Genomic DNA, 20,629 nt, shown 5'->3' on the forward strand with positions numbered 1-20,629 from the left:
TATTCCATAAACTTAACTTTGTTTTTATAATGTATGGAAACCAAGCACTTCCTCTGTACTCTTTTAGAGACGTTCTACTATGAACTTGTTCTTTTTTAGGTTGATGCCTTTTATTTTGATTCTATTCTGAAAGTTTATTTCCTAAAGAAAAAATTGTGCAAAATGTCAAGTGAAGTTTTTTTAATGTGTCCATAGATTTCTCTTAAGGTATAGTTTTGGACTCTCGCCTTAATAGTGTGTTGCCAAAATAAAGATATTCTCTGGCAGAGTGGGTTTTGTTGTTGTTGTTGTTGTTGTTGTTGTTGTTGTTGTTGGTTGATTTGGTTTTTGTTTAGTTTTGCTTTCTGAGTATATTTAAAGGATATTTCTTTTTTCTTTTTTGTATTTTGGATTTCTTTCCAACTTTCTGAAGCTGGCAGGACCTAATCTGTCGGATGGCTGCATCAGTGAAGGAGCAATCCACAAAGCCAATTCCATTACCACAGTCAACACCTGGCGAGTGAGTGTTCCTTTGCATTGTAGTAGGACTTATTTTATGTTTTGGGTTGGAAAAGACTAGGATAATTATTATGTTTTGTTGCGATGATGTTTAGATACCTCAGGAAGGTAAAAGTTTTTTTTTTTTTTTTTTTCTCTACAGAGGAGATAATGATGAAGAAGATCCTTCAAAATTAAAAGAGGAGCAGCATGGCATTTCAGTCACTGGTTTGCAGAGTCCAGGTACACTCTTCTGAAGAGTTCAATGGAGAATGTGCTCTATTATCTGTTAAAATGCTGGCCGGATGTGGTGGCTCATGCCTGTAATCCCAGTGCTTTGGGAGGTCGAGATAGGCGTATCACCTGAGGCCAGGAGTTAGAGGCCAACCTGACCAACATGACAAAACCCTGTCTCTACTAAAAAATACAAAAATTAGCCGGGCATGGTGGTAGGTGCCTGTAATCCCAGCTACTTGGGAGGCTGAGGCAGGGAGAATTGCTTGAACCCAGGAGGCGGAGGTTACGGTGAGCCGAGATCGTGCCATTGCACTCCAGCCTGGGCAACAAGACCGAAACACCAAAAAAAAAAAAGAAAAAAAGAAAAAAAAGAAAATAAAATAAAATGCAAAGAAACTTTAATACTGTTTGGTTTATGCAGGTTCCAGCATCAGAGATTCAGTTTAACAAACTTTGCCTTTGAGCCTTCTGTGTGTCAGTATAACACTGTTCTAAGTGATGTGTATTTTTCTTAACAGATGATCTCTGTAGTTTATGGATTGTTTTTTTTTTTTCTGATTCTTCCCTGAATGCTTCATGTTAAAAGTTAAAAGCTTTGTTTAGATATAGTCTACCTTTTCTATTCCATTGGACAGACAGAGATTTGGGATTAGAATCTACCTTAATATCGTCAAAACCTCAGTCTCATTCACTGAGTACCTCTGGGAAATCAGAGGTACGTGATCTGTTTGTGGCTGAGAGACAGTTTGCAAAGGAACAACATACAGATGGGACACTAAAGGAAGTTGGAGAAGATTATCAAATCGCAATCCCAGATTCACACCTGCCTGTCTCAGAAGAACGGTGGGCATTGGATGCACTAAGAAATTGTAAGTTTTATTCATAACTTATTACAGATACTTACTAAGTATGACACTCATGTGCCATCCCTAAAGTATGTGGATTTATCAAACTCCACTTATTCTTCTAGTTCTATTGTGGAGATTATAGTATTCTCTACAGTGGCCCATGCCACAGGCACACACACACATGCCACTCTGTTAGCTCCCCACCCCCCTGCCTGGTTCAGAATCACTGTTAAAATGGGAGGATAGCATATCTCTCAGTTGTATTGAGGTGGGAAAAAGGCTGAGAACAATTTCTTTGGCTGGGGAGAACCACTTGAAATTTTTAAACCAGCGTATGACTAAAGGTATGAAAAAAGATTAATCTGGCTGAAAGCGGTGGAAGGATTTGAATGGAAAGAGGTATGGAATGGTGTACTTACTAAATAAGCTATTATAATAGTCTGGCCTGAGACTAAAAGAGTTTGGACTAGAATGTTATCAGAAGGAATAAGAAGAAACTGAGAAGTCATCAAATGCTTAAAATAATTGACTTCTTTGAATGTGAGGTCAAAGGAAAGGGAATATTTAGAGATAATTTCATTAATCTAGTCAGAAATAAGAGTCAGAAAAGGACTACCACTGCTTCCCCCACCTCCTTCCATTGTACTTTCTTTTTTCTTTCTTTTGATTTGGTAGAATTATAGGCTCAGTTTTAAAGCATGTCAAGATTAAGATAATGAATGACAAAACACTAAAAAGTGAGTAACTAGCAGGAAGTTAGAGTTTTAGGAGTGAAACTTTAGAGAGAGGTTAGGAAGAGATAGAGATGTGAGCATCAGAGCCATGAGACTTCCTGGCATCTCTCAGGAAGTGATTGTAGAGCAGAAGGACAGAGGATGAGAGACCTAAGTGGAACCTGTTGCCTAAAGAAACATGACAGACATTAAGCTAGTGATGAGAGCAGAGAATTGGTTATTTAAAACCTACAATATTTTTTATACCTTCTCCTGAATTAACAGTCTTAATAATTTCTGATGGTTGGAATAACATTGTCCCAATAACTCTATCATTGTCTGGGTGACCTCATAGCATACACTTGGCCCATTCAAAATTAAATTGGTTCTTATTTTCAGTAAATGTATGTATCTCATAAAATTAGAGGAAATAATATGCATATAGTGTCTGGATCTGGAAAAAGCAGAACTTTTTTTTAGCTTTTTCTGTCTAGCTTAACACAGCCTTTCAACATTCTTAAGAAGTACCTTTAGGGTATTATTCTAGTTATATAGAAGAAAAAATAGAGGCATGATATTGGTTATTGAGGAGTTCTAAATAGTAGTATCTCCCTATTCAGAATGCTTAGATCTTTTCAAGTTTAGTTTAACGTTAAATCTTCTCTAAAAGATGGTGCTTTATTTCATCTTCAAAACAAAATGGAAAATGATTGTATGAAGTAAGATGATTGTATGAAATTAATAATTAACATTTTAATATGTCATTAAAAGATACTTTTTAAAGATAGATCATTGGTAAGTCAGCTAATTTAATTCTTGCAGCCTGAGGTTATAGTTGTGAATATGTTTTTTTTCCCCCTCCTTCCTAAATCGTTTAGTGGGTTTGTTGAAGCAGTTGCTGGTGCAACAGCTAGGTTTGACTGAGAAGAGCGTTCAGGAAGACTGGCAACATTTCCCAAGATACAGAACAGCCTCTCAGGGGCCGCAGACAGACAGTGTCATCCAGAACTCTGAAAATATTAAGGCCTATCATTCTGGTGAAGGACATATGCCCTTTAGAACTGGAACTGGTGACATTGCAACTTGTTACAGTCCACGGACTTCAACTGAATCTTTTGCTCCACGGGATTCAGTGGGACTGGCACCCCAGGATAGCCAGGCAAGTAACATTTTAGTAATGGACCACATGATTATGACCCCAGAGATGCCTACCATGGAGCCAGAAGGGGGTCTTGATGACAGTGGAGAGCACTTTTTTGATGCCCGTGAAGCACATAGTGATGAGAATCCATCAGAAGGTGATGGAGCAGTTAACAAGGAAGAGAAGGATGTTAATTTACGCATCTCAGGCAAGTATCTTTCACACTTAAACTTTGATTTTGATTTTGATCATTGTTAACTGTCCTGTATTTTGAAATGGATGTTGTATTGGTATCCAGGTGTGTGTGTGTGTGTGTGTTCACACATGTGCAATATTTATTCCTTCATTTGATAAATACTGAATCTACTCTGTACCAGACCTCATCATAGGTGCTGGGAGATATAGCAGTGAATAAAACACAGAAAAATCCCATCTTCTCATGAAGCTAGGGGAAAGAAGGATGGTAAATAAGTAAACAAATAAATAGACTTCAGGAAGTATTAGGAAGAAACATAAGTCAGACTGAGGGGACGGAGAGTAATGAAGGCAAACAGGGTGATCAGGGATTAGGACCTCCGATGAGGTAGCATTTGAGCAGAGACCTCAATGAAATGAGGGAATAAAGCCGGGTGGGTACCTGGGAGCTTACTATTCCAGCAGAGAGCAGAGTGGGGCAGAGGCTTTGTGTCAAAGAGCAAGCTTTTTGTGGTGATCGAACACTGGATGAGGGAGACAATGGCAGGAGATGGGGCAAGAGAGGCGTTTGGCAGGGGAAGTGGTAGCAAGATCATTTAGGCACTGTAGTTTCCAGCTTTAAACTTTTGAAATGAAATTTTTTGGAAATTACCATGAAAGTTTGCAGAGTTTAGCTTTCATCTGAAGTGAGGAAATTCTGATGTACCTGAAACTAAACTCAGGAATTAATGGCTTTTCCCTCTCTTAATAACTTTTCAAGTTGAAGTTGTCAGCACACTATGCTATTTCTGTTTTCTAATGGCAGCACTGGTCTTATCAAACTATTCTGTCTCTATCCATAGGAAACTATTTGATCCTTGATGGCTATGACCCAGTGCAGGAGAGTTCCACAGATGAGGAGGTTGCTTCCTCACTTACCCTGCAGCCCATGACAGGCATCCCTGCTGTGGAATCCACCCACCAGCAGCAACATTCTCCTCAGAATACTCACTCCGATGGGGCAATTTCACCATTCACCCCCGAATTTCTGGTCCAGCAGCGCTGGGGAGCTATGGAGTATTCCTGTTTTGAGATCCAGAGTCCCTCCTCTTGTGCAGATTCACAGAGCCAGATCATGGAGTACATTCATAAGATAGAGGCTGACCTTGAACACTTAAAGGTACCTCATACTTCCACATCCATAGGACTTGGTTGTAAGAAACATTTAGCAGAGGGGAAGAATAGGGTGATGAAAATGCTGATGTCAATAAACTTGTTCAGGTTCTAGATTTCTTTGACTATTATCCATGAATAGGCCTGGGTAAAAAGTTGAGATTGGCATTGTTTATCTTTTTCTTTCTTTCTTTTTTTTTTTTTTTTTGAGACGGAGTCTCGCTCTGTCAACCAGGCTAGAGTGCAGTGGCGTGATCTCAGCTCACTGCAAGCTCTGCCTTCCAGGTTCACACCATTCTCCTGCCTCAGCCTCCCAAGCAGCTGGGACTACAGGCACCCGCCCCCACGCCCAGCTAATTTTTTGTATTTTTAATAGAGACGGGGTTTCACCATGTTAGCCAGGATGGTCTCGATCTCCTGACCTCGTGATCCGCCTGCCTCGGCCTCCCAAAGTACTGGGATTACAGGCGTGAGCCACCGCGCCCAGTCGGCATTGTTTATCTTTTGACTATCACAAGAGCAGAAAAAGTTGCAGCTCTGTGAACTGTGTGTTTGTATGGGTGTCTAAGTTTAAGAACCTGAAATGCTTCGGGTAGTTGGCTGGCCTCTGTCAGACATGAACAAGAAGATGAGATAGGTAGGGTTTATGTAGTTATGAATCTAGGCTGAGAAATGCTATGACTTTCTGTAGCCTATTATCTGTGACTCATTAGGTGACATTGGCAGCTTCCCAAATCCTATGACAGATAGAAATTGGCTTCAGTGGCTCCTGTAATCTAAAAACATGGTCATGCATGGGATTTTTGTAGATTGGTAATTGAAGATGTCACTATTGCAAAACTGACTTGTGTGGCAATTTCCAAGAGAAAGACCTATCTTAAAGTTTTCCATCAGAGGCAGGGCACGGTGGCTCACGCCTGTAATTCCAGCACTTTGGGAGGCAAGGCAGGCGGATCACGAGGTCAGGAGATCGAGACCATCCTTGCTAACACGGTGAAACCCCGTCTCTACTAAAAATAAAAAAAATCAGCCAGGTGTGGTGGTGGGCGCCTGTAGTCCCAGCTACTCAGGAGGCTGAGGCAGGAGAATGGCATGAACCTGGGAGGCGGAGCTTGCAGGGAGCTGAGATCACGCCACTGCACTCCAACCTGGGTGACAGAGCGAGACTCTGTCTCAAAAAAAAAAAAAAAAGTTTGCCATCAGAAAACACAGCTTCCAGAGCCCAAACATTTTCCTCATGACATCATTTACACCAGAGACTTGAGGGGTAGATTTAAGTATCCTTAGCCTTTGAGTTAAAGACTGGTCTCCCTTAGTTTCTCTTTTACCTTCATATAATTGATTTTTCCCTCTTCATGTTACTTATTTTATGTAGTATCATTCTGTAGCTGATGAGATATCGACAAGCCCATTGAGGACAGGTCGGTTCTTATATACAGTCATGTGTTGCTTAGCAATGGGGATATATTCTGAGAAATTCATCATTAGGCATTTTTATCTTTGTGTGAACTTCACAGAGTGTACTTACACAAACCTAGATAGAATATATCTTTATTTACATAGATTTTTTCATATGGAAAGCCAAATCTCTCAACACTATTACTGAATATTAGTCATTTCCCCTACCTGATCAGCAATGCCATTATTAAGTGCCACACACCAGGTTTCTACATGTGCTCCATAATAATCTTTTTTTTTTTTTTTTTTTTTTGAGACAGTCTTGCTCTGTCACCCAGGCTGGAGTGCAGTGGCGCTATTTCGGCTCACTGCAACCTCTGCCTCCCAGGTTCAAGCGATTCTCCTGCCTTGGCCTCCCAAGGAGCTGGGACTACAGGCACCACCACCATGCCCAGATAAATTTTTTTTTTTTTTTAAATGGAGTCTCGGTCTGTCACCCAGGCTGGAGTGCAATGGTGCAATCTCGGCTCACCGCAACCTCCGCCTCCCGGGTTCAAGCGATTCTCCTGCCTCAGCTTCCTGAGTAGCTGGGATTACAGGTGCCCGCCACCACACCCAGCTAATTTTTTTCTATCTTTTAATTTATTTATGTATTTATATTTTTTGAGACAGAGTCTTGCTCTGTCGCCCAGGCTGGAGTGCAGTGGCATGATCTCTCCTCACTGCAAGCTCCACCTCCCAGGTTCACGCCATTCTCCTGCCTCAGCCTCCCCAGTAGCTGGGACTACAGGCGCCTGCCACCATGCCCGGCTAATTTTTTTTATTTTTAGTAGAGACGGGGTTTCACCATGTTAGCCTGGATGGTCTCGATCTCCTGACCTCGTGATCCGCCTGCCTCGGCCTCCCAAAGTGTTGGGATTACAGGCGTGAGCCACCGCGCCCAGTCCCAGCTAATTTTTATAATTTTAGTAGAGACAGGATTTCACCATGTTGGCCAGGCTGGTCTGGAACTCCTGACCTCAGGTGATCCACCTGCCTCGGCCTCCCAAAGTGCTGGGATTACAGGCGTGAGCCACCATGCCCCACCCATAATAATCTTAAGGGACCATCATCATGTATGCAGGCCGCCATGTCTTTATGTGCTGCATGACTATAGCTCATGCACATGATGACGGGACCATGTCCAGGGTGACTCCTGGGGGTGGGAGAATTGCATCTATGGTTACCACCTCTACTTTCTTTTTACATGGGAAAATACTAAGTTATTCCTTCAGTGGAGAAATTGGTAAAAGGAATGAAATTTACTTTTTTCTTCCCACTAATGAAATTTTTAATGATGAAGTTAATATTTTTGAAATTTGGGGGCTTGTACCTGTAATGTAAAAAGGGCTTCTTTTCTGTTTTCTGAAGTTTTTGTTTTGTTTTGTTTCATTACGTTTGAATAAAAAACCTATGGGTTTTATTTCACAGAAGGTGGAGGAAAGTTACACCATTCTTTGCCAAAGGCTGGCTGGATCAGCCCTCACAGACAAGCACTCAGGTATGTAAAAGTTATGAGTTCCAGACTCTAGACTAATCATCCTACACTGAATGAAATGACTTATCATACTTTGAAGTGAAAACCTTCTGAGATTCCATTTCTCTTCTGTCTTTAAAGAACTGCCTGTTTCTAAACATCAGATATCAAGCGGAAGCTCATGCCTGCTGACTCTACTCTTCTCTAAGAGGAACTGCAGTTGTCAGTTCCCATACCATCCCCTCTTCTCTCTCTTTTCACCTTTTCAAAGCAGAAGGCAGAGCAGTGGGAAGCCTGGTAAATCACAGATTCGGTGTGAGGCTTACTGGTACTGCTGTGACTCCCTAGTGTGGAGGATTTGGCCTTATTGGATGTTGGTGCACTTGCCTCTGCTGACAGTGTGGCTGGTGTCTCCCCTGACTGCAGATGGATTTGTGTTCCCTGCAGCAGTTTATACTCATCTGCTTACATACTGATTCAGAAACAAAGATTGAACCACGCCCACAGATGTCATGGGTATTCTTTGCAATGTTAGTATATTCTTTTTCTTAATATCATTTCCATGTATCTTTATTCTTCTCAGATAAAAGTTAGAGCCGCATGTCCTGGAGGTGACTGCAGGTTGTTGGATTTGGAGTATCGGCCGTGTCTCACCACATCCTGGCTCCAGTGTGGATGCAGAGAGAGTGTGACAGAGGATCTGCCTGTGAACCACCTGGGATTAGTCAAGTCCCAAGGTGCCCAGAGTGGGACTAGTTCTTCACAGTGTGGCAGCTGCACTAATCTGTTTGTGAGGGAATATCCATTCCCTCACTCTACTCTCCTCACTATCGGAAATTCATTTTGATTCAGAATAAAAACCAAATGTATAGAGCTTTGGGTGTAGGATATGAAATTGTACTTAGATTTAAGAAAAAGAGAAAATCAGATGTATTTATTTGACTTCATTCCGTATTTGAAAGCACATTTTAATTTTTATTTGCCTTGTTTTGTTTTAATTGAGTAGTGAGAGTTTTAGACCTTTGTCTTTAGTACACCCAAGGATCAACTGCTCCTGAAGCAAAGAGGTCAGGATGGAGTATGCAGAAGTTGGGTAGAGAGGTTAAGAAGAGGAGGAAGTGAGACGGGGAAGGGAGGAGCACCTTGCTTCACTATACAGTATTCCAAGCTCTCTGCTGTCCAGTAGGCTGCTTCTCTGAGGGTCACCTCAAAGGTATGCTATGCCGTGTGGCTCTTATGTGCCCAGGTGGTGTGGTCAGAGAGTGGATGGGCTTCCTCCCGCCCTGAGGCAAGCACCTCTTCTCTGTAGCTGGGATCAACCACAATTAATAGGAATCCTCAACATACTAAATAGCAGGCACTTGAAAATGGGTGTGTTTTCTTCCATTGTCGTCTTTTCTATTGAGGGTTGGGATTTGGGTGGGAGAGGAAAGCAAATTTTATTTTCTTGACTATAAATTTGTTATTCTTGGTATCATTTCATTTTTATAATTATACATTAGACATTGGCACTTGTGTAAAACTGTCCCTGCAGATTGAGCAGGAAGTAAAAACAAATGGAAATGCTTCGGATAGTGGCAGGGGTGGGGGTTGCTAAGGAAAGGGTGGGATGGGAGTGGGTAAAGAGTTTGGGAAGGTTATCTAACTGAATCACTACTGAGTTGAATCATGGCTATCATTAGCCACAGGTACTGCTGATTATAAGGCCAGTAAAATTTTAGTACCTGGAGGTTTGACTCTAATTTTTGCACTGATGGTGCCAAAGGGCCCTGAGTCAAAAGGATAGCCAAGGGTGGAGTGGAAAAAGATATGGTGAAGGCAGAACTGCTCACACCAGCTCCAGAAGCACGTCCTCTGACTTCACTGCCGCAGCTCTTTCCACACGGGGCCGTGATTGACCCTAAAAATTGCAGACCAGCACATACACTGGACACTGCAGGCAAGGTGTTGGTAACTGCCTGCTCTAGGATGAATAGTAGCGTTAGCAGCACCCTACAGAGGGTAAGTTTCAGAATTGTAATTTGAGAACTCCTTCAATTATATTGACTTTCTTTGGTTTTCCTTGTGCATTAGGTATATATTTTTTGAAGTATTTTTGCCAACTAAAATGAAGTCTGTAAATTCTGTTAATAAACAAGGAGTTCATCCGTTGCTCACATCTTTCATTGGTGCCCTCTGAACTCTGTGGGTTGCTAGGATGTAATTTTAATGCTTCCCTGCAGTCCAAAGATGATTTTTTCACCACAAATGGTAAGGGATGCCCACCTACTTTTATAAACACCACTGCAACTTAACAAGTTTATTTATCTATGTCCAGATTTCTGTTTCTGTCCTAAATTGATCTGTGTTTTTAGGTGGATCAACTTGGATCTTTAGACCTCATCTATAAATTGAAATTATATTTTTAGTCATAAGCCAAGTACAATCTAACTCAGAATGGGATTAAAAATTTTAGAAGCAGAAGCTAATATATAAATGAAGTTTGGGATTTGGAACTTTCTGTATCTCTTAGGAGGAACAAGTAAAAACCAAATGGTTACATTGTGCTGCTAGAAATAATGTCATTCTCAATTAAAAGGGTTACACCTGTAGCCACTTGACACTAACACCATCGAGGGCAATTAATCAGGAGAAAAGTAAATATAAAAACTTTGCTCTTAACGTCACACACTACAGGGTAATTATGTAATTCTCTAGCACTCAATTAAGAAGCTTGTAGGTTAGCAAAATTTCAGTTTCTCTAGTTCAGCCAGTGTCTTGTCCTTAGTAATTATTTGCTTTCCCTGCAGTTCAATTTCTCCTTGGAACTCTAACAGGACTAACTGGAAAAATACTTTGACCATAGCTCTAGTACTTCCAAATAAATTCATATCTAGATTTTCAAACAAAGCCCCAAGATGAAGTCTAATTCTGAAAATATCTCACAATTTTTGAATGTTCTTTTTATCTTACCGACCTAACTTCTCTTTTCCCTCCCAACTTGGCCTCCCACACGTTCCATTTCATTTTGGCCATTATAGTCACATCCGTTTGACTTTGGTTGTGACATCTTCCTTTCAGGATGATGGAATTAGATGCAGTCTGTCTTTGAGTGAGACTGGTCACCATCAGAGGAGTTTTTTCTAAGTGACGTGACTAGAAGTTGAAATCTACTTCCCTGCTAAAGGGCACAGGGGTGGTGTACAAAGAAAGCTACCTTCCCAGAGCAAGCAGGCTGCATTTTAGCTATGGAAGTGACCTGCTGTGACACTGTGCTCTCTTCTGTGGGCTTAATGGTTCCTTTGCTATGAAGTGGCAAATTACATGTAGAGTGTCTCCTTCCTTTTCAGAGAACAGTTAATCAAGGCAAATCAGCAAGCCCCCAAAGTGCTGTAATTTAACATCATGATTACCACCTTCGAAGCTATATATTTTGCATACTTTAAAATCACCTAACTTGGACTGCTTGAATTACATTGGCTTTTAGAACCGAAATTGTAACTATGTATTGTATTTCATGGGAGGTATATTTTATGAGCTTTTTGGCTTTCTTTTTTCCCACAGCAACTGCCAATGAAGGATGAATCCCCTTTTTAAAAAGTTGTTGTTGTTGTTGTTTATTTGATTTTGAGTTAGGAGGGATAATAGAGAAGTCCATTTAAAAATTATTTTTAGAAGCTAAAGAAAGTAATTATGCTTCCTGTGAATTGTCTTTTACTGGCATCTTTGTTTTCCTCTTTGATGTTAGTAAATTTGGTGTAATACGTGGGGCTTCCATATTTCAAAGTGGAAGCTTTCTTCTCTGAAGTCGATATATGGTTTTGAATTACTAGAGCTTTGGTCAGTATTTCCTTCCCTATATGTCACAGAGGGCACCACTGAGAACTGCGTGCATAGGACCTCAAAATACAAAATTAGCAGGGCCTCACAGTCAGCTTCCTCATGGCTAGTTTTTCCCCCTTATATTACAATTTTTGTTTTATAAGTCATTTTTTTCCTGATATTTCCACCACTTTTCAGAGTCATCTACAAAATTTTTCTTTCCTCAAGAAAAGAGTTCCTTTTGCCTTATTCCTTATGCCTTCCCCACTGGTATTGAGGGTTTTGATAATAAATTGGTAGGAAAAAAAAGTACCTCCTAGAAGGAAGCCTTCCCCACCATTTCCAGGTGCCAACTGCTAAGCAGATATATTCCAAAAATGGTAACTGTCATGTGCACACTGTTGGTTATTTTTAATAAGCCTCTTCCTACTAGAACATTTTATTTTCCTTGTTCACCATACAATCATGTACTCTTTAACAGAAATTGCTTTTAAAAAATATCTGGAACTATCTTTAAAAAAACTTTATTAATAATCATGTATTTTTACTGATCACATTTTGAAATGCCTAAAAGACTTTATTGTTCTAATTATCCAGATGTACCTTTGTAAAATAGCTCTTTTATGAATTAGCTGATAAGGCTGTATGTTTCTGGAACAAAATATTGGTCATCTAAAAACTTTCTGTTTTCTGGGGTCTGGGAAAATAGAAAATAAGATTTCAAATATTAAATAAGCTTAAAGGAACCAAGCATGTGACTTTTTATTTGTATTCTGGTTGATTTGTCTTGTCCAAGTTATATTAGAAAAGTTGAGGAGTCGAGGAGCCTGTAATTAATTTTCCTGTCAGTGACTGTCAGACATCTTCCTGCTTATTAGAGCATCCCTAGCAACAAGGCTAAACCTTCATGACAGTGCTGGCAGGTGGGCTTGCCCTAGCATGTGGGGCAGGTTTGTTGTTTTTTTAATAGCTTTATTGAGATATTCACATATCATATAATTCATCCATTTAAAGTGTATAATCAGATGGGTTTTGGTATATTATTGATTTTTAATTGTGGTGAAATATATATATAACAAAATTTGCTATTGTAACTATTTTTAAGTATAAAGTTCAGTGAGGTAGGCCAGCTTTTATGACGCACCTGAAGATAACTTTGGTTTTAATCCTACCCTAAATGAAGCATATGCCTCTATTTTTCCTGTCCCCAGTGCTGGGCTTCTTCACATACCAACATTTCTGTGCTTTTACCAACAGCATTTTAGCTCAGAAGGCTCGCTTACTTTGGGCATTTGCTGTATTTTGGTTTTGAAATACTTGTAATTTGACTTATTCTTGGGATAATATTTTAGTTTTCAGTCATTCAAGGGCACATTTGGCTGACGGAGCTAATAAGCGTAATAAAATGCTTAGTAGTTTATACCATCTTTTAGTTAAACATTTTAAAGATTAAGACTATTCAAATGTACTTTGCGGAAATTAACCTGTTTGTATGCCTGGCTTTGTTTACAAACATATATCTATATCTATATATATAGATACAGATACAGATACATATCTGGTGGAACAAAGAAATACCTGTACCATTCCCACTTGCTCTTTGATAGCCACCTCCTAGGAATGGAGACAATAAAACTCTGTATTTGCATGTGAGCAGTTACTTCTATTTTTTACTGCCCTCTTTCAAGCTAAATGACTGGTTTACCAAAGGTTTATTACCAACTTCAAATATAAGAGGATCTATCCTGATTAAAAAGTTGCTTTTTAATTGAACTCGTTATCTCCTTGATGTTTTATGACAAATGTCATAAAGCATGAGAGATAAGTAGCTGGATGTAGGTGTTTCCCATTTTCTCTATAATGTCAAGGATAATTCTTGTTACTAATTGGAAACACTTCCTCAACTTTAGCTGTCAGGGAATATGTTTGTTTTGCCACTTATTTTTACTAGTGAGACATCATCATTCCCTTAGCATCAGCAGAGGCCTTGGTTTGAGATCATTTAAGGTATGTAGAGCTCTCTTTCTAGATTTTCCCCCTCAATTGATTAGAGTGCTTTTGGACCGACCTGTAATTTAAGGCATTTTATTTTAAGGGATCTTTTTCTTTGTACGTGTGATCAGAGGGTTGTGGCTGCCTGAACACATGCTAATCAAAAACACTAATTAGGATACATTTTGGTAATCTTTTAAAAACTTTCAGGGAGGCATCTGTACAAAGACTTTTTTTCTGCTATCATTATTTTAAATATTAAAGGCAAATAGCATGACATAATGCAACACTTTTCAATCTTTTTGATCTCACGACCACTTTTTAAAAAATGTATATCTTTTTTTGTGTGTTGTTCTTGTTGTTGTTGTTGTTTGAGACAGGGTCTTGCTCTGTCGCCCAGGCTGGAGTGCAGTGGCACTAACGTGGCTCATGCCGCCTCAACCTCCTAGACTCAAGTGACCCTCCCTCCTCAGCCTCCCAAGTATCTGGGATCAAAGGTGTGAACCACCAGGCCTGGCTAATTTTTTTTTATTTTTTGTAGAGATGACATTTCTCCATGTTGCCCAGGCTGGTTTCAAACTCCTGGGCTCAAGCAAGCCTCACCCTCCCAAAGTGGTGGGATTACAAGTATGAGCCACCACACCTGGCCAGGACCACTGGACACTCTTAAAAATGATGAAAGACTTCATGGAGAAGCTTGTATTCATGTGGATTATAGCTATCAATTGTTACTGTATTAGACATTTAAAAGAAAATAGAAATGAGGAAAATGAATTTATTTAAAAATAGTAAACCCAAATACATGTGAACATAAATCACATTTTTATGAAAAGATCACTATTTTCCACAATTAAAAATTGAGGTTTATGTAGTTTTTGAGATCTCTTTAATGTCTGGCATAATAGAATACAGCTGGATTCTCATGTATGCTTCTGCACAATCTTTTGTGATTTTTTTTTCTTTTTTTTTGAGACGGAGTCTTGCTCTGTCACCCAGGCTGGAGTGCAGTGGTGCCATCTCAGCTCAGTGCAACCTCCACTGCCGGGGTTCAAGCGATTATCCTGCCTCCCGCATGAAATGGGGTTTTGCCATGTTGGCCAGGCTTGTCTCGAACTCCTGACCTCAGGTGAGCCACTGTGTCCGGCCCTGTTGTGGTATGTTGAAGTATATAAAGAAAATCCAGGTTCACACGGATACATATTTTTAAATGGAGAAATATTGGAATAGCCTTTTCAGATAATTATGGATATTCTTCTTTGATACTGTACAAAATTTGGCAAGTGATAGTTCCTTCAAAGATAGCTGCAGTGTGGAATCTGAAATCCTATCAAGGAAGTTTTTGTACTCTGTTAAACTAAAAATCCACTGATCCGTTTTACACTTTATTTATGTGAAGAGTGGTAACTTTTACCCATGCATGATTTTGTAATATCCTGTATTGGTCATTTGGAAAATACTGGTTTACTGAATTATGCAGTTCTTCCAAATATTGACACATTTCTTTATATAAATATCAAGTCACATTTGTTAATATCACAACTGATATCAGAAAAGTCCCATGGTAAATGCAAATTTCACAAAATTCTAATGTTTCCTTGGAATCTTGAATTTTATCATTGGCAACAAATACAGTTTTCCTTGAAATGACAGCCTCACTTTTTTTAATTTTTGAGTGAGAAGATACCTGCCAAATATTCAAGTCTGAATGGCGATTGCTTACCAGTCATTCTTTCATGTTAAAATGGTCTTCCTCCATTTAAAAAAAAAAAAAAAGTTGGGCACGGTGGCTCACACTTGTAATCCCAGCACTTTGGGAGGCCAAGGCGGGCCGATTACGAGGTCAGGAGATCAAGACCATCCTGGCCAACATGTTGAAACCCCATCTCTACTAAAATACAAAAAATTAGCCGAGCATGGTGGCGTGCGCCTGTAGTCCCAGCTACTCAGGAGGCTGAGGCAGGGGAATTGCTTGAACTCGGGAGGTGGAGGTTGCAGTGAGCCAAGATCGCGCCACTGCACTCCAGCCTGGTGACAGAGTGAGACTCCATCTCAAAAAAAAAAGTAGCTAGTACCTTTCCTTCAGCCACAACCATGGTACTTTGTTATGTGGCAGGGTTGCTTGATGCATACTTACCTTTTTTTCCTCACACAAAATATTAAAAAGATGTGTACTCAAGGGTTGAGATTTCATAAAATTATTAAAATTTACTGCTTCGTCAAGGACATTCTTAAGTGCAACTGGCAGTGTCTATTGCAAGTCAGCAGCAGTAACAGATACAGTGTTAATGAAATTTGGTACAACAACTTTGATTCCTGCCAAGTCACCAGCAGCTTCACCCTCTATTGATTTTGCACCATCAGTGCAATTGTCAACATGCTGAAAAGGTACGTGGTGTCTCAGTAGTTTTATGAAAAGTTTTGGGGTTTGGGTTTTTTTTGTTTTTGGGTTTTTTTTTGTTTTTTTTTTTTTTTTTTTTTTTTTGCAGTCTGTCTCTGTTCTTGCTCTGTCATCCAGGCTGAAGTGCAGTGGTGCAGTTATAGCTCACTACAGCCTCAAACTCCTGGGCTCAAGGGATCCTGCCGCCCTGCCTCACCCTCCTTAGTAGCTGGGACTACAGGTGCATGCCACCGTGCCCGGATAATTTTTTAAAGATTATTTTTTGTAGAAATGGGGTCTTACTGTGTTGCTCAGGCTGGCCTCCCAACTCCTGGCTTCAAGCCATCGTCCTGCCTGAGCCTCCAAATGCCAGGATTACAGGCATGAGCCACCGCGCCCAGCCTATGACAATAGTTTTGACTCCCTGGGAGTCTTGGGCATCCCCAAAGGTTTGCAGACCACACTTTGAGAACTGTTGGTGTAGTGAAAAGAACCTGAACTTAGATGATCTGGATTCGGTTTCAACTCTTCTACTTACTTGCTGTGTGGCCTTGAGTGAGCTACCTTCTCTGTTTCCATTTTCTTATCTATAAATTGAAGTAAATAATATCCAACCTAACAGTTGTGAGGATTAAATGAGAAATTACTAGGCATGAGGCTGGTATCTCCCCAACATTTTTCGTTTTTTATTTTCCATTTCAGGATTTTTTTGTTGTGTTTTTTATTTTTTGAGACGGAGTCTCACTCTGTCGCCCAGGCTGGAGTGCAGTGGCGCGATCTCGGCTCACTGCAAGCTCCGCCTCCCGATTCACGCCATTCTCCTGCCTCAGCCTCCAGAGTAGCTGGGACTACAGGCGCCCGCTACCAAGCCCGACTAATATTTTGTATTTTTAGTGGAGACGGGGTTTCACCACGTTAGCCAGGATGTTCTCGATTTCCTGACCTCGTGATCCGCCCGCCTTGGCTTCCCAAAGTGCTGAGATTATAGGCGTGAGCCACCGTGCCCGGCCCCATTTCAGGATCTGAAGTACCTAAAACAGGAGAGGAGAAAAATAGTCAAGAATATGTAGGTATCCCACTTGCTAATACAGCCATATTTCCTGTAATATTATGGTTTTGGTGTGTCTAAACCCTAGACTCTTAGGGGTGAGTATATGTGTGTTCTTTTTATTTTTTAGAGACAGGGTTTCTCTCTGTCGCCCAGGCTGGTGTGCAGTGGTGCTGTCATAGCTCACCGCAGCCTTGCACTTCTGGGCTGAAATAATCCTGCCTCTGTCTCCCAAGTAGCTGGGAATACAGGCACGTGCCACCATGCCTGGCTAACTTTTAAACTTTTTTTCGAGACAGGGTCTCACTATGTCACCCAGGCTGGTCTGGAACTTCTGTCCTCAAACGATTCTCCCATCTCAGCTTCCCAACATGCTGAAATTACAGGCGTGAGCCACTGCACCGAGCCCCATTTAAAAAAAAATAAGTTGCTGACCTCTGTAATAATACACTTTAACTTGATTGTTCTTTTAAGTGTAAAGAAAGAAAAAAATACCCTTTTGATTACATTTGCTTTAGTGAGAGCCTTGGTTTTAGAGAAACCTATGTATTGGACTTGTGATGTTTTGGGACTACTGTTGTAATGGGGTGAAGTGGAATGGTAGATGTTCCAGAAACTTTTCAGTGATTATGTACACCTGTAGTGGTTTTCATCTTGCTGCAAGCTCCCATATACAATGTGCTAATACTACTTGGGTTATCTTCCAGTTAAAGCTAGATCTTTGTAGTTTTGAAACATCTGTATTCAAATATATAAGCTGCTTACTTTCTTTTAAGTCTTAATGGAAATCTGAGTTATATTGTGGTTATTTAGTGAGAGTTTGTGTTTTGTCTTCCTAAAAATGCATCAATCACCACGTCCCCTGCACTGAAAAGCATAAGTGATTTTCATATTCAAATCATAATAGCACTTTGAAACCTTTTCTGAAGAAACAGCCCCAGACATCATGGCCTAAAGTCTAGCATATGACAGGATTTCTGGGATTCCTCTCTGCCTTCCCCTCCTATGCATAGGGAGAGGGCCCGTACATACCAGGGAAGCAAGACCAAACTAAACTGAGTTCCTTCTAGTCTCTGTGCTGATATCAGCTGGTTATCTAACCTACAACAAGTCATTTACTTATCGAGGCTCAGTGTTCTCATCTTACACTGAGGAAGTTGGATGTCAGTTCTCTCCAAGGCCCCTTCAACTCTGAATGTTAAATTGATAGCACAGGAAAACAGACAGAGCTTGCCCACTGGCTTGCTTAGGTATTCTCAGGTAAGCTCTATCCTTTCCTGACCTTCTGTGTTGCTCCCAATTAGAGTGTTCTTTTATTTGCTTATTTTATTTTTGTGACAGGGTCTTGCTCTGTCACTGAGGCTAGAGTTCAGTGACACAAACACGGCTCACTGCAGACTCGACCTCCTGGGCTCAAGCCATCTTCCCACCTCAACCTCCTCAGTAGCTGGGACTGCAGGCATACGCCACCAGGCCAATCTTCCCATCTCAGCCTCCTGAAGTGTTGGGATTACAGGTGTGAGCCACTGCACCCAACTAGAGTGTAATTTTAATGTCACCCACTGAAATCTGTCCCTGGAAAATTCTTTTTCTCCTGTTCTTCTTTGAAGTATCTTTGACAGCTTACTTTAGTTTACTGTTACCTGCAGTCTGATAAAACAGTTTCATCTCTTCTTTCATCACGGTCTCACTGCCAGTTTACAACAACTTGGAGGCTTTTGTGGAAGAAAATCTGACTTTCCTGGTTCAGAGAAGACTTGCTGAGCATTGGCTGAGGAGAGACTGGAGGTCTTATCTCCACTTCAGCTCGTGTCCTGAGTGATGGCCGGTTCTGAAAGGCTTATGAAATTTGGAGACTTTGTAGAAGTTGAGTCCCCAGAATATAAGCTAACCAGATTGTATAGCAAGCAAATGCTCCACCAGAGAAACTGTTCCAGCCAGCAAGAATAAGTCCCAGATAACTTGGATGCTTTCATGCAATCAAATATTTACAAACCAACACTTCAAGTGACAGGAAAGGAGATTAGACAAAACTGTTTCTATGGCTTGCCACCTACTGAGAGTAAAAGACTCAAATCTTCTCTACTGTTTCTTTTTTTTTCTTTTGGAAATTGTCCTCTTTGGGATAAATCCTGGTTGAGTAGTCAGTGACATTTACCTGCAATACCTACAGAGCCTAATGTTTGCTTCTGGTGGGGATATTGGCATTCTAATAGGAGTGTTTGAGGAAGGTTCTGTTTCCTTCCCTCCCTTCCTTTCCCCTCCCCTCCCCTCCCTTCTCCTCTCCTCTCCTGACTGAGTCTCACTCTGTTGCCCAGGCTAGAGTGCAGTGGTACAATCTTGGCTAACTGCAACCTCTGCCTCCCAGGTTCAAGCAATTCTCCTGCCTAAGCCTCCTGAGTAGTTGGGACTACAGGCACATGCCACCATGCCCAGCTGATTTTTTATATTTTTAGTAGAGACTGGGTTTCATCATGTTGGCCAGGCTGGTCTCGAACTCCTGACCTCAAGCTATCTGCCTGCCTGGGCCCTCCCAAAGTGTTGGGATTACAGGCGTGAGCCATGGCGCCCAGCCAGTTCTGCATCTTTAAACATGCGTTATGATTAACTTACATTCTCAACTCTTTTCTCCCTCTCTCTTCAAAGATGTACTGATCTGACATGCAATTAAGGCTGGGCATACCAAGGCAGATTAAATGCAGGAATCTTTCTATCTTGGGCCAGAACAGCTTGGCGGCCGTGACTATAGAGTTGGTTGATTAATTGGTTAACTTATTCCCAGCTTTGTTTCAGAAAGCTTTGCAGCAGAGCAGGGCGTTTGAAGATGGTTTAAGGAAAAAAAGGAATCATAGGCCTTAGGGAAAAGAAGGTGGATGTTAGGCTCGTTTGCAGTATTTGTTACTTGATCCTATGATTTTTTTTCTTTCAAAATGTCTCTGATTTACCCCTTGCTCTGTTTCCACTGTAGCAGGTTATCTTGCGGCACAGCTCCATGTAACTAAAACACCTGCATAGATTGCTGCCTCCTCCGCTCTCCAGCCTGTCATGCATGACTACCCGCCAGGTTTGCTCCAAAACATTCCTTTCATTGTGCCACTTGCCTGCCCAAGAACCTGCAGTGGCTATGGTTACTACTGTATCGATTAAACTCCGCTTTGTTTCAGAGATGATCATAATTTGGCCAGCTTCATTTCCCTCTACTGTCCATCGTGAGCCCTCTTCCCCAGTAAGGCTTAGGCTCCTCCAAGTCTCCCCACCTCACATTCTAGGCCGGGACTCCACCTTTGCTTTTCCCTTAGTCTGAAATGTACTTTGGAAACTTCCAAGATGAGTATTAAAAGTAATAGCTGGCCGGGCGCGATGACTCACGCCTGTAATCCCAGCACTTTGGGAGGCCAAGGCGGGCGGATCAAGAGGTTGGGAGATGGAGACCATCCTGGCCAACAGGGTGAAACCCCGTTTCTACTAAACTACAAAAAATTAGCTGTGCGTGGTGGCAGGCGCCTGTAGTCCCAGCAACTTGGGAGGCTGAGGCAGGGGAATCACTTGGACCCGGGAGGCAGAGGTTGCAGTGAGCCGAGATCGCACCATTGCACTCCAGTCTGGCGACAGAGCAAGACTCCATCTGAAAATAAATAAATAAATAAATAAATAAATAAATAAATAAATAAATAAATAATGGCTGGCCAGACATGGTGGCTCATGCCTGTAATCCTAGCACTTTGGGAGGCTGA

At 41.0% G+C, this 20,629-nt stretch overlaps 1 protein-coding gene across 19 annotated transcripts in view, besides 4 other annotated features; it reads left to right on the forward strand.

Moving 5' to 3' along the window:
- Positions 1 to 13,131, forward strand: part of ARHGEF12 (Rho guanine nucleotide exchange factor 12) — a 153,525-nt gene extending 140,394 nt beyond the window's left edge. For all 19 annotated transcript variants that reach the window (NM_015313.3, XM_006718805.4, XM_047426659.1 and 16 more), the window contains 7 exons: positions 413 to 499; positions 641 to 720; positions 1,350 to 1,583; positions 3,154 to 3,624; positions 4,454 to 4,770; positions 7,632 to 7,701; positions 8,261 to 13,131. In NM_015313.3, the coding sequence (NP_056128.1) occupies positions 413 to 499; positions 641 to 720; positions 1,350 to 1,583; positions 3,154 to 3,624; positions 4,454 to 4,770; positions 7,632 to 7,701; positions 8,261 to 8,271 (1,270 nt within the window). In that variant the 3' untranslated portion in view covers positions 8,272 to 13,131. The remainder of the gene's footprint in view (positions 1 to 412; positions 500 to 640; positions 721 to 1,349; positions 1,584 to 3,153; positions 3,625 to 4,453; positions 4,771 to 7,631; positions 7,702 to 8,260) is intronic.
- Positions 2,806 to 2,950: an enhancer, noted in NCBI's record as "145 bp 11:120350393 sequence used in MPRA reporter constructs". NCBI's record gives its function as "activates a minimal TATA-containing promoter with rs12362794 allelic activity by MPRAs in UACC903 melanoma cells {active_cell/tissue: UACC903}" and the evidence as "EXISTENCE:reporter gene assay evidence [ECO:0000049][PMID:36423637]".
- Position 2,878: a transcriptional cis regulatory region, noted in NCBI's record as "rs12362794 or 11:120350393 MPRA-significant variant associated with a GWAS melanoma risk locus at 11q23.3". NCBI's record gives its function as "allelic transcriptional activity by MPRAs in UACC903 melanoma cells {active_cell/tissue: UACC903}" and the evidence as "EXISTENCE:reporter gene assay evidence [ECO:0000049][PMID:36423637]".
- Positions 8,730 to 8,874: an enhancer, noted in NCBI's record as "145 bp 11:120356317 sequence used in MPRA reporter constructs". NCBI's record gives its function as "activates a minimal TATA-containing promoter with rs11217889 allelic activity by MPRAs in C283T melanocytes {active_cell/tissue: C283T}" and the evidence as "EXISTENCE:reporter gene assay evidence [ECO:0000049][PMID:36423637]".
- Position 8,802: a transcriptional cis regulatory region, noted in NCBI's record as "rs11217889 or 11:120356317 MPRA-significant variant associated with a GWAS melanoma risk locus at 11q23.3". NCBI's record gives its function as "allelic transcriptional activity by MPRAs in C283T melanocytes {active_cell/tissue: C283T}" and the evidence as "EXISTENCE:reporter gene assay evidence [ECO:0000049][PMID:36423637]".

This window comes from Homo sapiens, chromosome 11 (assembly GCF_000001405.40).
Source record: "Homo sapiens chromosome 11, GRCh38.p14 Primary Assembly".
NCBI lineage: Eukaryota > Metazoa > Chordata > Mammalia > Primates > Hominidae > Homo > Homo sapiens.